Source organism: Homo sapiens, chromosome 7 (genome assembly GCF_000001405.40).
Source record: "Homo sapiens chromosome 7, GRCh38.p14 Primary Assembly".
Taxonomy (NCBI): domain Eukaryota; kingdom Metazoa; phylum Chordata; class Mammalia; order Primates; family Hominidae; genus Homo; species Homo sapiens.
Window position 1 is genome coordinate 113,112,909 of NC_000007.14, and position 13,751 is coordinate 113,126,659.

The window sequence follows — 13,751 nt, forward strand, 5'->3', positions numbered from 1 at the left end:
AATTTAAGAGAAAATAAGTGACTTGCCCATTATGACATTTTAATTCTTGGAGAGACGTCTGTTAAATTCCACAGCTTGGACCCTTAGCCTCTATTATAGTACCACTGAAGAGACTGTTATGAGAGTCGCTGGCTGGGAGATGGGTCATATGCAGAAAATTCTCCTCCATTCATTATGTGCTGCAGGCTATATAGCTGCATTACCATTCCTATATCCAAGGTTGGAAATGGCATTTGATAAGCTGGTACAGAGCTAGAAAGCCCAGCAGGACACAGGTGCATGTGAGGTGTAGCTTCTGAGATTTCCTGGACCTGGCTAGTTGGCACAATTGGTATCACATCAGTTTTTCAAGAAGCTCCCACTTGCAGTCTCAATGCTGAGACAAAATATGAATACAGCCCATTTTCTCAAACTTCATCTACGTCCCTGCATTTCTTGATGGTTAGTCTCACTCCCTAGTTGAGACTGTTGGGTTAAGGTAGGAATAAACAATATGCTGGATGGGTGAAGAGGGGAAGGTGGATGTGGGAGATGACGGGACAAAAGTCTGTGAGTAAAATACCTTGAAGTAATCACTTTCCTGGTGTTTTATCTCTCCATCTCTGGAGTAGCTCAGAAAATTCCCTCTTTAAATATGCACCAAGACTTATACTTCTAGAAAGATGGAGTAGACATCTTTTTTCCTTTTCCTCCCACTAAATATAGCTAAAAACCCTGGACATTATGTATAAAACAAACATAGGATTCTGAAAGGCAGAAAGAAGGCACAACAGCTGGGTACCTCAAGAGCAAAGGAACAACAAAGTGGTGAGTTAGCTGGTTTTTTTTTTTTTTCTTCCTGTTTCAGATTGAGAACTGGAGAAGTTGGTAGCACAGAAAGGCCAACGGGCTTAGACCGAAAAAAAAAAAGGGTGGGGGGGTGGGAAACCAAACAAGACTATTCTCTCTAGTATTTAAAGGTATAGGAAAGGTGTAGCTTAGTGAAACAGAAAACTTTTAGAATTGTAGCCCCACTTCCACCATCAGCAAAGGTTGAGTGGAGTGCCAAGACCTCCACTTTCACCAGGCTGTAGATGTTCCAGGCTCCCCACTGAGGTATCACAGAAGGCTGGGTGGGGAGCTGGCACTTTCATCCTCACCAGTTGATAGTAAGAACCTCCCTCTTCTACGCTGGTACCCATGAAGACCATGTGGGTAGCCTGGACTCCACTCCCACCTGGTGGTAACAAGGCAACCTATCACCAGTGTCAGTGGAGGGTATAGGAGGAGCAGTCATGAGGCTTCCACCTGCATCTGGCAGGAAGGAGGAGGCATCCTCCCTTTCTACGAAGGAGTGGTGTCAGAGGAATGTTAAAATACAAAATTTAAATAAGAGCCACAGCCTTTTAAATATAATACCCAGAATGTCCAAATGTCAATAGAAAAATCATCATCATACTAAGAACTGGGAAGATCTCAACTTGAATGAGAAGACAATCAACAGATGCTAAACACCGAGGTGACAGAGATGTTAGGATTATTAAGGATTTAAGCAGCCATGAAAAGGTGCTTCAGTGACAATCACAAACATGCTTGAGACAAATGAAAAAACAGGTCTCCACAAAGAAACACAAGACACAAAGAACAAAATGGAAAGTTTTGAACAAAAAATACAACAGCAGAAACGGTGAACTTAAGCATACAATACTAGAAATTACCCAATCTGAATAAGAGAAAAAAAGGACTGAAAAAATAAATAGAGCCTTAGGTATGCATCAGACTATAACAAAAATATCTAATATTGGGTCCCTGGAGTCCTAGAAGAAAAGGAGAATGAAAGTGGAGCGAAATTTTTGTAAAAAGAAAGAATGGCTGAAAATTTCCTGAATTTGGGAAAAAAGAATAAAACTGTAAGTCTCAGATACCGAGTGAACCCCAAACAGGATAAACCCAAAGATATATCCATGCCGAGATATATCACAAACTTCTAAAAATTAATGACAAAGAAGAGTTATGAAAGCAGTTAAGAGAGAAATGATGCAGGAAATGTACTGATTTTTAGCATTAGAGAACTAAGCTGGTTACATTAAAACTACAGAGAACAGAAATATAAGTATTTGCAAGGACCTTAAATTCTTCACTTGATCTCAACTATTTTTAACTCAACTCAGTGAGCTAACATGCACAAGGCATTTACTAGATATCTACAAATTGTGCTGGGCATCAGAATATTTGCTAATGCCATTCTTGCTGTAACTGCTCCACAGCAGGTGTTATCCCTCATAGAAAATCAAGGAATTTTAGAATTGGAAAGATCCTGGATGGGCTTCAGCTCTGAAACTAATCTAAAAATGTCAGCATGCATGGGAATTTTCCTAAAGAAAAAGATGATAGCTTTCATCAGATTCTCAAAGGAACTGGTGGCCTAAAAATGTTAAGAGCCACCATAAGGGTTCTGTTCTTTTCAGGCAAAGCCATATAATCCAACCTAAATAGATGAGAAATGAGGCTATTTTTAGAGGAGGTGTTCCCCCATCATATCCATCAAAATTCCTGCATGCCACCTCAAGACAATTCTCTACTTTTAAGGGGAAAATAGGGAAATGGCAGTTTTCTAATTCTTTCTAGGCACTTTTGGAAATACACGTTGACCAAAGAATGTTTGCCTATAGTCTTATTTTGAACATTTTAAAAACAGTACCTGGAGGTGACTAAGTGACTACTGCACTGTGATTTAAAATGTACTTTAGGTTTGATTTCTCCCATCCCAATGGAAAAGTTGACATGCAAGGAAGCCGCAGCAGCCTTTCTACATCAGCACCCAATGGGCTGGAGTATAAGAGATGACAATTGTTCTATAACTTGCATCATTCCTTTTTCCTTCTTTAAAACACACAAAAAAATGCAGGTACAATCAAGCTATATTAATTATGAAATGTTTAACTGCCAATTAATTTGAATAAAGACTGTTAGTGCTTCCTCTAGCAAAAAATCGAAACAGCTGTGACAAAAACAAGTGCATTCAGTTTCCATGTCTTTATTCTGTGATGCTTCTTCACTCCTTGTACACTTTAACCAAAACTTTCATGCAAGCCAAGTCAGCTCACTCTAGAATTACACCATAAACAGGACTTTAGGTTGCTAGTGCCTGTTTTTGGATAAAAAATGAGGCTCCCAATGTCATCTGGAGAGCTACAGATTGGAAAATGCATTTTAGGAAAAAATTTCACTACTTACCTCCAGTGTGACCCTAAAGTTTGATTTCCTTAGACTACTTTATGCTGGCTACAACTTGAGAATCAAATGAATCACTGAGGACCCTTGTTAGACATGGAGTTCCAGGCCCCATCTCACAGCTATACAACCAGGAGAAAGACCAGGGAATCAAAAAGTCTTATCAAGTGCCTGGAATGATTCTTGGGCTCAAGCAAGTTGGCAGTCTTCTTAAATTTGTAATGTGCATACAAATTAACTTGGGCTTTGGAAACGAATGCTGTTCCTGATCCAATTGGTCTGGGTGGGGCCTGAGATTCTGCATTTCTAACAAGCCCCAGGTGATGTTGCTGGCTTGAAGACACTTTAAGTAGCTAGGCCAGAGAGGATATTTCGTTTGGCTGGCGTACAAATCAGTTTAAGCCATTTCATTTTCCTTCTATATTTCTAGATTTTCTATCAGGGGCTTCTCTGACCTTAATGCTGCCCAGTTCTCATTATGTCTCTTCAAGCTACCGCAATCAGTTAACACAAGGCATCCTGCCCTTCTCCACTTAGCTCATATAAAAATCCACAATGGATACAAACAGCCCCAAATAAGAAATGGACACGAAACATTAACTTATAACATAATGGGTTTATATTTAATATAGTACTTCTCATCAGGAGGATGTTACTCAGTTAATATAAAGTTTTTTTTCAAAACATTAAATCTCTTTTCCATGTCAATGTCTATAGTTTTTTTTTAACATTAAATTTTTTTCCGCATTTCAGTATTAGATACACTGAATACATTTTTCTAAATGTTTTTTCCCTAGAGATAAAAGTTTTCCTTTTTGCCTGACTCTCTGATATCTAAATATAATATTAACTTGGGAGACAACAAAACAAAAATCTAATTTAAAAGACTCCTCAACGATTCAGGAGGCAGTGATTATAACCGAACAGTGGTGATTTCCTAAGATTCTGGGCAAGAACTTCCTTCTTCCTATTTCACATGCTTTGAGAGAATTCTAAGATTATGAAATATTACTTATGTAAATTTCAGCCATCTTACTTCTTTGACTACCTAACTAGCAAATTATAGGCTGCATTTTTCTGTGCATTATTTGTTGTAAAGAAAACATTTTTTTTTCAATTTATAAATGTATGTTTGTTGCCATTTCATGGAAACAATGAAAAATGTGAAACTCCCTTATTTACTGATTCTTGGAACCTTTCACACACCAAATCTCAGGTTTAGCCTCTAAAGCGCAAAGGTTTTCAGGGTGAGGTTTGACTCAGTAGGCCTTTCAAAGTCACATCTGTCCATTTCTTTTTCGTGCATATACCCCCAAGCAGGCACAAATGCCTGTAATGCTGAGAACCACACCTAACAAAAGGGCGATTGCATCACCGGCTTCTACTGCTTCCACAACAGGCAGCACCAAAAGCAGTGACATGAGGACTAAGGACAACTGTGTTGAAACTGAGGTCATGATGTTGGAATCTTGAGGGCTGAAGGTTCCTAGAAATTAAACATGGAAACAAAAAGGAACCATTAAAAATTCCTCCCTTTTCAAATGACAAAATGAACACATGACAAATAACAGGCCAGCCAATCTTTTGGATACTTTATGAATCATTTCCAATCCATCTCCTCATCTTATAGGTGGAAAAACAGAGGGACGTTAAAGACAGTAATTTGAGGTTCATCTCCCTATCTCGTGATAACACTCTAAACCCAGGAATTTTCCACGATAATGCCAACACCTCGTGCATCAACCAAACAAAAATTGAACAGGAGTTCATAATTAAGAACAAACAGAAAAAAAGCACGAGCCACTAACTTGGAAACTTAAAATATCCTAGTGGGTAAAAATTGTACATTTTCTTAGGGTCTCTCCCATCCAAGAAATGCAGACAAATTTGGCAAAAGTCACACAACATATAACTCTGCGAAGTTGTGGGGAATTAATAAGACTTACCAAAGAAATGGTATATATAGAATTCTATCTGACTTGAAATTTTCCCTTCCTGGAGCTCCGGATGCTGAGATTAAGAGGTTCCACGTGACACGACCTATTATTAGCATGGGGGGTGGGGAGGGGGCGGAGAGAAGGATTTAAAAATTAATTATTATTACTATTATTATTTTAAAGAGGCAGCTAGAGTCAGTGCAGAGCGTGGAGGCCATATGGACGGTAGGGGGATAGGTAATGAGTTGAGAAAAGTCTGTCCAACAGGGAACTAGACTTAAAAGTTGGTCAGTTCACCCACACAAGAAAAGGTAAAAAGAAACAGAACAGAGATAATTTCATTTCAGGACTTGATATTAAGATTTGAAAAAGAATTCGTACTTTGGCCCGGCAAGGTCCAAATTTGCTCCTGTTTTACAAATACACTGGTGCAACCTAAGTATCCTTTGGAGACGAGTTCGTACATTACCTTCTAGGAAGCAGCCATTACAGGAATGGCGAGGAGGGCGGAGTCTCCAAACTACATTTCCCACAATCCCTGCCGCCGCCGACTCCTATGATGCCCCGGCGCGTTCCCCCTATAAGTAGCAGAGGGCGTGACGGTCACGCTCTAGCGGAGGCGAAGAGTCGCGAACGCGCGGGACTTCCTTTCCCTGCCCAACGTTTTACTATTAAATAGATGGTTTCGTGTGTTTATATAAAAGCTCACTTCAAAATAAAAGAAATGATAGCAAGTGTTTTCTACCCTGTTGAGTCTGTAAGGCGCACATGTAATTTTGTCTTTTTCTTCGACTGAAATGACACAGCGGGGAGAGAGAACCCAAGTACAGCCCTCTGTTCCGGGTGCTTTTAAACCAGTGGCTTCCAACGTTTCTGAAGCAGGAAATCTCTGTCACCATCTTCCTAATGAAACATATGCCATTTATTAATTTTTTAGTCAATGGGGAAAAAGCGCGGTTAATAAGACATATCGTAAAAGGTTAAAAAACATTTGTAGTGCAAAATAAAGTTTAGGAAAAATGGGTTTAGCCCTGTTGCAGAAGATCTCTCAGGATTCAGGTCCTAAAGTGACAATCTATTCAGGAGTGCACTGCGGTGATTCCTTCCCACCTATGTTTTTGTGAAACCTCAGCCCCAAATGTCCCTACATATTTGTGAAAAGATGTAAAAATACTGCTTTTAAATCATAAAACAAGAATTAGTTATTTGTATATGTAAGTCGTAACCTTTCTGAAAGGCGCTCTTTCAATTGTCTGCTAATTGTGAACTCCTTACTGAACCTTTCTAGTCATCTGATCTTCTGAACTCTTTCATATTTACTGATTTGAAAATTTATTTGCTATCCTTACATTATAAATTATTAATGATGAGGGTTGGGTGTGAAGCCACCTGCCTGGTCTGAAAGTCCCCTGGTTCAGTCTGTTAGATAATGCAGGTACGTTCAGTTCAATGCCAATAATTAGCATGTATTCTTGTGTTGTCGGTTACCCTTTTTCTTACACGTTCCTAGTCTCTCTAGCAAAGATTTATATTCTTGGCTCCTAACCGGCACCCAGCAGGTGCTCAGTAATGTTGCCTAATAATAATAATGATTTGACTAGATAAATATGCCAACAAGATCTTATGAGAGACCGAGAGGTGCCAAATAAACCAAACCAAGGTGACTAGAAAATTGGAAATCTGAGAATAACTGCACAATAACGTCAGCATTGTTTCTCTAACCTTGATTATTTTAACAAGGTTTTGTTCATTTCATCCTTTGTTTTGAGCTACTTTCGTGCCTTTGTAATCAATTATATTTGGAATAGGAGTTATATTTTTATAGCTTCCAAAATATTCTCTCATATCCTACTGTGAACATTTTGTTTTTCCCTACATGTTTATTTTTCCTTATGTGTTTATTTTAGTTAGCTGAAGTCAGCAGAGACTACTTTAAAGTTAGTATTGTTACAGACTTGTTTCTAGGCACGTCAACATTAAAGATAATGGTTTGGTTTTAAGTTTAAAGAGTCTGTAAGTGGCAAGAAACTTTCTCTTTAAATTATGATGGTTTTTATTAGTTTGTGAAATATATATTATATTGGGAAATGTCGATCTCGGGGGCGGGGTTCCAGTAATAGCTGATGTAGTTGCAAGGATTAATTTCTGGAGTACCATGAATATGATAATCTCCTTCACTGCTTTGACCTGCTCCTACTGTGTGATTTTTAACATGCCTTCACTCTATCTCAGTGAACTGTTATTTCCTAGCTGTAAACCAGGTTAGATATTTTGGCTAGATTGCTGACCAGGATAATAACTGCCATGTTGTACATGTTTGGTCTCTCTTCTAAAAAAGGCGATGATAGATGAGAAGCTGCTTCTGTGTCCGTCATCTGCCAACTACAAGTTCTGCCTGTGAACATCTCTGGTAGCAATGTGAACCACCAATTTTCTGAAGCAATGCTACACTCCCATTTTTCCCAAGCTGTATGAATGTTTCTACAGGCTTCTATGTAGTTGTTCTTTTGACACTAAGTGTCTAGGGTTATAGAATCCATAATTTAGTCTTTCGATTCAAACAAATCTGCACCTACACCATCCTTTACTGAAATAGAGATCAATGGCACCAATGATACTTAAAGCACTTTACTTTAGTTACTTACCTGAGCAGTGGAGAGCAAAATTTTCCATCAGTTGTTACCCAGAAATGGTTTCAGGAAAAAAAAAAAAAAAAAAAAGGAAGTGGCTTCTGCTCATTTTTCTGTTAGAAGTGAGTCATTGGTAGGCCCTGAAGGAAGGCACCTCTGGGATCCATCAGAGGATGCAGGACAGGCCAATATCAGGATTTTGCAGTGACTGGTGTGTGTCAGGGAATTTATAAAACCCAGACTTCCTCATTAGCAATTGAGCCAAGCCAAGTGAGTCGAAACATTTTACTGGAGCTTCACAATTAAAAAAGACCAACCCAGACCTAGTCAGTATTTCCCATCATTAATAGGACTAATCACTGAGAATGTTAGAACTAACTACTCATTAGGTCAAAAGGATGGGAGAAGCTACACTTTCCAGAGCTGTTCAACTACTGCAGAAAACGTCTCCTGAGGCTAAGTACCTCTTGTACCAGCATTTACAGAAGTGTATGGGAGAGGTGCAAAAGGTCATTTTGGGCAAAGTTCCAGGCACCACCTAGAGCCCATTATGTATGTGGTCCTTACTCCCACTGGTGATCGTCATTTGTCTGTGGGAATCAATCACACACGGAAGCTTGTGGAGGATGGGGAAGTAGAGAAACCCCACTCATAGGCATGACAGATTCCACTTTTATTTATATTGCTGATCTTCTTGGAGTAGGTTAAAAATTACTGGATATGACAAAGTTCTAGTTTTGAAAAGTTGTGACATTATCTATATAGCACTTTATCCGTGGTAATGGACTGATTAAGACAGGGTTTGGAGATCATCAGAGGTTGATTCCAAATTTACCTCTGCCACTTTCTAACTCTGTAAACCTGTGCGAATTATCTAACTTCCTGAAACTTGAGTTTTCTCATCTGTAATAAGGGGATCACCAATCTTCATAGGGTTGTTAATGCAGATTGAATGAGGTGACATGTAAAGTGGCTCAGTGTGGTCAGTGTAAGTGACACTATTATTGGCAACAGACGACCTTTCAGAGATGGAAGTAGCTGATCAAATAATATTTATTAAGTGCTACACAAGGAAATTTAAAATCAGAATTAGCTTACATCATGAGAGATGAACAAACATTTATTATGGAAAAAAAGATTTTCTTAGAAAACATGGTTTCATGCTGCATAGGGTCAGATTGATTGATTGACATTTATATTTAACAAACACTTAAAATAGTGACTAATATGCACCAGTAACTATTCCACACATTAATAAATATAAGCCCCTCTACTCCTTAAAATAATCCTGTGAACTGGATACTATTATTATTCTCTGATGAAGAAATTGAGGCATAGTTAAGTAATTTACACCAGGTCACATAACTAGTGAGTGGTATATATCCAGGAAATATGACAAACTTTATACTTTTAATCATTGTCCACATACTGTTATGTGGAAAATGTCCACAGGATCAAAAACCATTTTAATTTTCTTTTTAATAAGGTGTTCTAATGTCGCTTAGGAAGCCTAATCATGTTGACTACTTGAGGGGTTGCTGGTGTTTGTGTACTTCCCTCTAGGCCCTAGTGTGGTGAATGAGGGGGTGCCAGTATTCACCTAATTTATCAGTGGATTTTGACTGAGATTTAATAAATATGTACAAAAAAGTGTTTTTTTAAAAATTGAAGTATATCTGACCCAGGCGCAAAAGCACACATACTAACGAGCATAGATGTTCCCTGTCAACATAGATTGTGAAATGTTGGAAAATTTCAATTATCATGAAATAACTGAAGTCCATATAATATACAAAATTCAAAAAGAAAGTTAAAGAGACCCTTTGAAAATCTTTGCAAGAAGAAAAGATAACTATTGGGTATTGAGCTTAATACCTGGGTGATGAAAGAATATGTACAACAAACCCCCATGACACGTGTTTACCTATGTAACAAACCTGCACATGTGCCCCCAAAGCTCAAAAGTTAAAAAAAAAAAAAGAAAATCTTTGCTAGGGGTCAAGAGTTTAAACTAGTCCCTGCAAAAATGTAGGGAGGTTACTAACAATTCAGTATGTGCATTTCACAGGGAAATATTAATTCCCCTGTGTAGACCAGGTGCTCATTATGATTAAGAGCTGGTAACCATGGAAACAAACAGCATGAAATTTATAAAATTAAAGACATGCTGGATAGAAAATGCAAATAGCCTAGGACAGTGAATCTTGCCCCAACCAGTCTTAGCTTGATTTCCCTTGAATTGAAAGACTTATGAAATTTCTGTCTGGCCATTTTTTGAGTAAAATCACTCAATTTGAGAAACTGAATTTACACTTTGGATATCTCACTTTGTTCATTTGATAATACCTTTTTGAGTCAATCTAGACATGTTGCAGTGTATATAAGGCTAGAATGTATTGGTTAGCAGTATCTAGGAAGTGGTTACTTTTAAATTGATTCTGGAAGCTTAAATGAGTACTTGAACCTTTTATGTAGACATTTATTGTGAATTTCCAGTTGACATACTGTAAGTGATCAGTCACTTTTAGTTTCTAAATTTCTTTCTTTTGCTAAATCACATAGGTGGTCCAAGTAGAACACTTTATGGTAAAACATCAGTTTCTGTGTCACGGAATGATTTACTTATCTATGAAACGGTGAGTGAGATGGCAATAGTAAAGTTTCTTTACTCTTGCTTGTAATATTTTGATTGTTTATAAATCTATTCCTTGAGACCATTAAGACAACAGACTACTTGTCTGTAAATACTCTAAAGTAATGTTGTTTGAATTAAAAATCTTTATAATTTTTAAAATGACAAAAATCTTACTTTCTGCAAGAATAAGTTTACTCAAGGAGGTTGCCAGATTTTCCATTTTACTTTAAAGATAATTTCTTTATCTTAAAGGTGGAATAGGTTATATTAAAAAGATTGCAACTGGTTCAGTTGAGGAAAAAGTCCGGTACAACACTATAGTTTCATTTGATTTTGATTTGGACTCATTTTAATGCATTTTACGCTCTCGTATCTCAGGAGAGTCAAAATAAGTAATTGACCTCAATCTGACAGCCAGAATGAAGCACTGCTTTTGCGAGCATGCCTATCAACACTCGTGAATGTATTTGTGGTGGCTATATAAGGGAAGGGACATAATCCTTTCATCTGCCCTGCTTCAGTAACTCCTTAATAGAATACCGTACGTATCTTTGGTGACCAGACATTAAAAGGGACCTACACAGACAGTAGAGGATCCAGGGAAGAGTGACAGAGTTTATTCAAGTTATCCAAAATTGGTCCTGGAAGAGTGTTCTCAAAGTGTGTTCTGTGTTTCACTTGCATCCCAATTATATGGGGAATTTATTTTAAAATGCAAAACTTTAAAATAAGTTCTCCTGGTAGTTCTTAGGTTCATTTGGTCTTAGAGCCTTTGCCATTTTATGGAGGCTGATTATTTGGGAAGTGGTGACATAGGGGCAACTGAATGACATTAACCTGACGTTAAGTTAATGATGCATTTAACAAGACCCAGTTAGAATTATTCATCTTGCTTTCCTGGATCCCTTCTCAGTTATTGATGAAGTGGAAAATACAAATACTTTTTACTATTTGTATATGTATCAAATGACATTTTTTCTTATCATTTCTTATAGCCTTTCATTTCTGTCTTTAAGTTTTTTTTATTTTTATTTTTATTTTTTTTTTTTGAGACGGAGTCTCGCTCTGTTGCCCAGGCTGGAGTGCAGCGGCGCAATCTCGGCTCACTGCAAGCTCCGCCTCCCGGGTTCACGCCATTCTCCTGCCTCAGCCTCCTGAGTAGCTGGGACTACAGGCGCCCGCCAACACACCCGGCTAATTTTTGTATTTTTAGTAGAGACGGGGTTTCACCGTGTTAGCCAGCATGGTCTTGATCTCCTGACCTCGTGATCCGCCCGCCTCGGTCTCCCAAAGTGCTGGGATTACAGGCATGAGCAACCACGCCCGGTCCTGTCTTTAAGATTTAATTTTTTAAATATGTAAAACCATTCTAATGATTTCCATCATTAAAAATCAGAACCATCTGATTCCTTGAAGAGAACAGAGCCTTTGCTAGCACTGAGAAGGACTCTGAGTAACAAAATGGACAGTACCTCAGTTATAAAAAATAACAATGTGGATATGAATTTTATGTGGTTATTTCTCATAACAACCTCTGTCAAAGATTAGGACAAAGTAGTAAATGTGAGTCAATGAAATTGATCAGAAAGGTGTTGTGGGTTCCCAATATGTATGTTTCTGGTGACAACATTAACCAAAGATTGAATTTGTAAGGTCTTGGACCTATCTTCCCTGAACATTTCTTCTCTCAGTAGGTATTTGGATGAGAGCTGGATATCCTGGAGTGCTAGTATTCTAAATTGCTGGCTAAGGGCCCATCCATATGCTTTGGAACAGAGAGATAGTTATCCTATTATGAAAGTAGTGAGATAGTTATCCTATTATGAAAATTAAGTAGCTCTAACAATTGTCCTTCCTACATAGATATAGCTGGATAAAGTGGGGCTTGGGCCCAGAATCCTACCTCTTTTGGTTATATCACACTGATTTCTCATACTGTTTTTAGTATTGTAATACCCACATAGTGACAATCCACAAATACTTATTGAATAAGTTAAAAGCTAAGACTTTAAGGTTTTAAGATTTTAGCCAACATAAAGCTCAGTTTGCATCAACATGTATGACATAGCCACCAAAACAGTGATTATGATCTTCGGCTGCAGGAATTGATGTGAATTATCTAGAAGAGGGAGGGAAGCTTTGCTTTGCTATTTCCAGTGTGGGCTATGCCCAGCAGTTTGCTGTTCTCTTATGGGTTCCTATTTTAATAGAAACATTAACAAACTGGATATTAACGGTATAATGATGAGATTAAACTCATTAGTTGAAGAACATAGTTGAAAAACCATGGGATGTAAATGAGAAGACTCAATGAGAATGTCTGCCATTTTCAGTGGCTCATCCCATAGGAGAGACCATAAAAGAAAGAAATTGGACCTGTTCTAGATGGCCAGTGGGGGAAAGTAATGGGCATGTTTTTAGCTTGATAGAAAAAAAAGCTCTTCTAATATTCTAAGAGGGAATTGGCTGCCTCAGTGAGCAGTGAACTCTTGATCAGTCAGAAGGGTAGCTTAATGAACACTTGACTAGGATGTTGTAGAAAGGATTCAGACTTCAAAAAGATAGTCGTATTAGATGTCCTTGAAGCTTCCTTCTAAACCTGGCATTTTCTGATTCTCTTATCTCCTCCCCGCACCCACCCACAAGTCCTGTGCTGGTTGTCTGGTACTCATTACAAGAGCTTGTTTTAAGAATCTCTGAGACACTGTTATTTATCTTTCCAAAGGCTTTATTTTTAGTATTTAAGAATTTCTATATTTCTTTATTTGAAACTAGGAGAAAAATAGACTTTTTTCTACTTCTGAAAACTTTGGTTAATATTTTGTTAACATTTATATATACCTAAATATATATGATAGATTCTTAATATTGTTGTTAATATTTTAACATCAGCCTGTGTAATTGATACTAATTTCATAAAATATCATGTAGGCTACAGTGAACAGATGAAAAATGGGTTTCGTATATTTTATTTATACCAGCAACGGTTTATAATCTGAGGATCAAGATATAAGGTTGATCAAGCTTTTGAATGTGATATGTCCTGAAAGTGGATTTCTAATGGAATACCTACAAAATGGTTTTTTGCCGTGAGTCAGAATGATCTCAACAGTCTTGTGTATATCAAGTCATTGTAGTATACATTTCTGGATGGTTCAATCTTAGGCCAAAGTAGGTTTTCCTATTTCGTCCTATTCTAAACAAGTTCTGTTTTTCTGGGAGATGAGCTATTTTAATTTAATTTTTGAGTGAGTAAATCCCTTAAGCATTGAAAATCAAAGTATATTTGACTTTTTAGCATGTGGGTACCAAAATATGTATAGTGTAAAGATCTGA

The 13,751-nt window shown here is 37.6% G+C and overlaps 2 protein-coding genes across 4 annotated transcripts in view, besides 3 other annotated features; one reads left to right on the top strand and one right to left on the bottom strand.

The window, feature by feature from the left end:
* The window catches only part of LOC107986837 (uncharacterized), a 45,778-nt gene that overhangs the window by 12,245 nt on the left and 19,782 nt on the right, over positions 1-13,751 (top strand). The gene's annotated exons all lie outside the window — the stretch shown is intronic.
* SMIM30 (small integral membrane protein 30) lies at positions 3,810-5,646 on the bottom strand. 2 transcript variants are annotated; one of them, NM_001352688.2, is made up of 3 exons: positions 5,620-5,646; positions 5,160-5,253; positions 3,810-4,699 (listed from the first exon to the last, which is right to left on the bottom strand). In NM_001352688.2, the coding sequence occupies exon 3, from the start codon at positions 4,668-4,670 to the stop codon at positions 4,491-4,493; it is 180 nt and encodes a 59-aa protein (NP_001339617.1). In that variant the 5' UTR covers positions 4,671-4,699; positions 5,160-5,253; positions 5,620-5,646; the 3' UTR covers positions 3,810-4,490. The 2 variants fall into 2 exon arrangements, with proteins under 2 accessions (NP_001339617.1, NP_001339616.1); NM_001352687.2 differs by having other exon boundaries at positions 5,532-5,646.
* Positions 5,417-6,011: an enhancer, noted in NCBI's record as "H3K27ac hESC enhancer chr7:112758380-112758974 (GRCh37/hg19 assembly coordinates)". NCBI's record gives its function as "activates a minimal SCP1, AML or CMV promoter by ChIP-STARR-seq in naive H9 embryonic stem cells {active_cell/tissue: H9 hESC(naive)}" and the evidence as "EXISTENCE:reporter gene assay evidence [ECO:0000049][PMID:30033119]".
* Positions 5,417-6,045: a biological region, named in NCBI's record as "H3K27ac hESC enhancer GRCh37_chr7:112758380-112758974".
* Positions 5,906-6,045: an enhancer, noted in NCBI's record as "active region_26521". NCBI's record gives its function as "activates an Ori minimal core promoter by ATAC-STARR-seq in GM12878 lymphoblastoid cells {active_cell/tissue: GM12878}" and the evidence as "EXISTENCE:reporter gene assay evidence [ECO:0000049][PMID:35858748]".

Bases quoted from the DNA above. Each gene is read 5' to 3' on its own strand.
- SMIM30 (NM_001352688.2), bottom strand. From the start codon at position 4,670: ATGACCTCAGTTTCAACACAGTTGTCCTTAGTCCTCATGTCACTGCTT.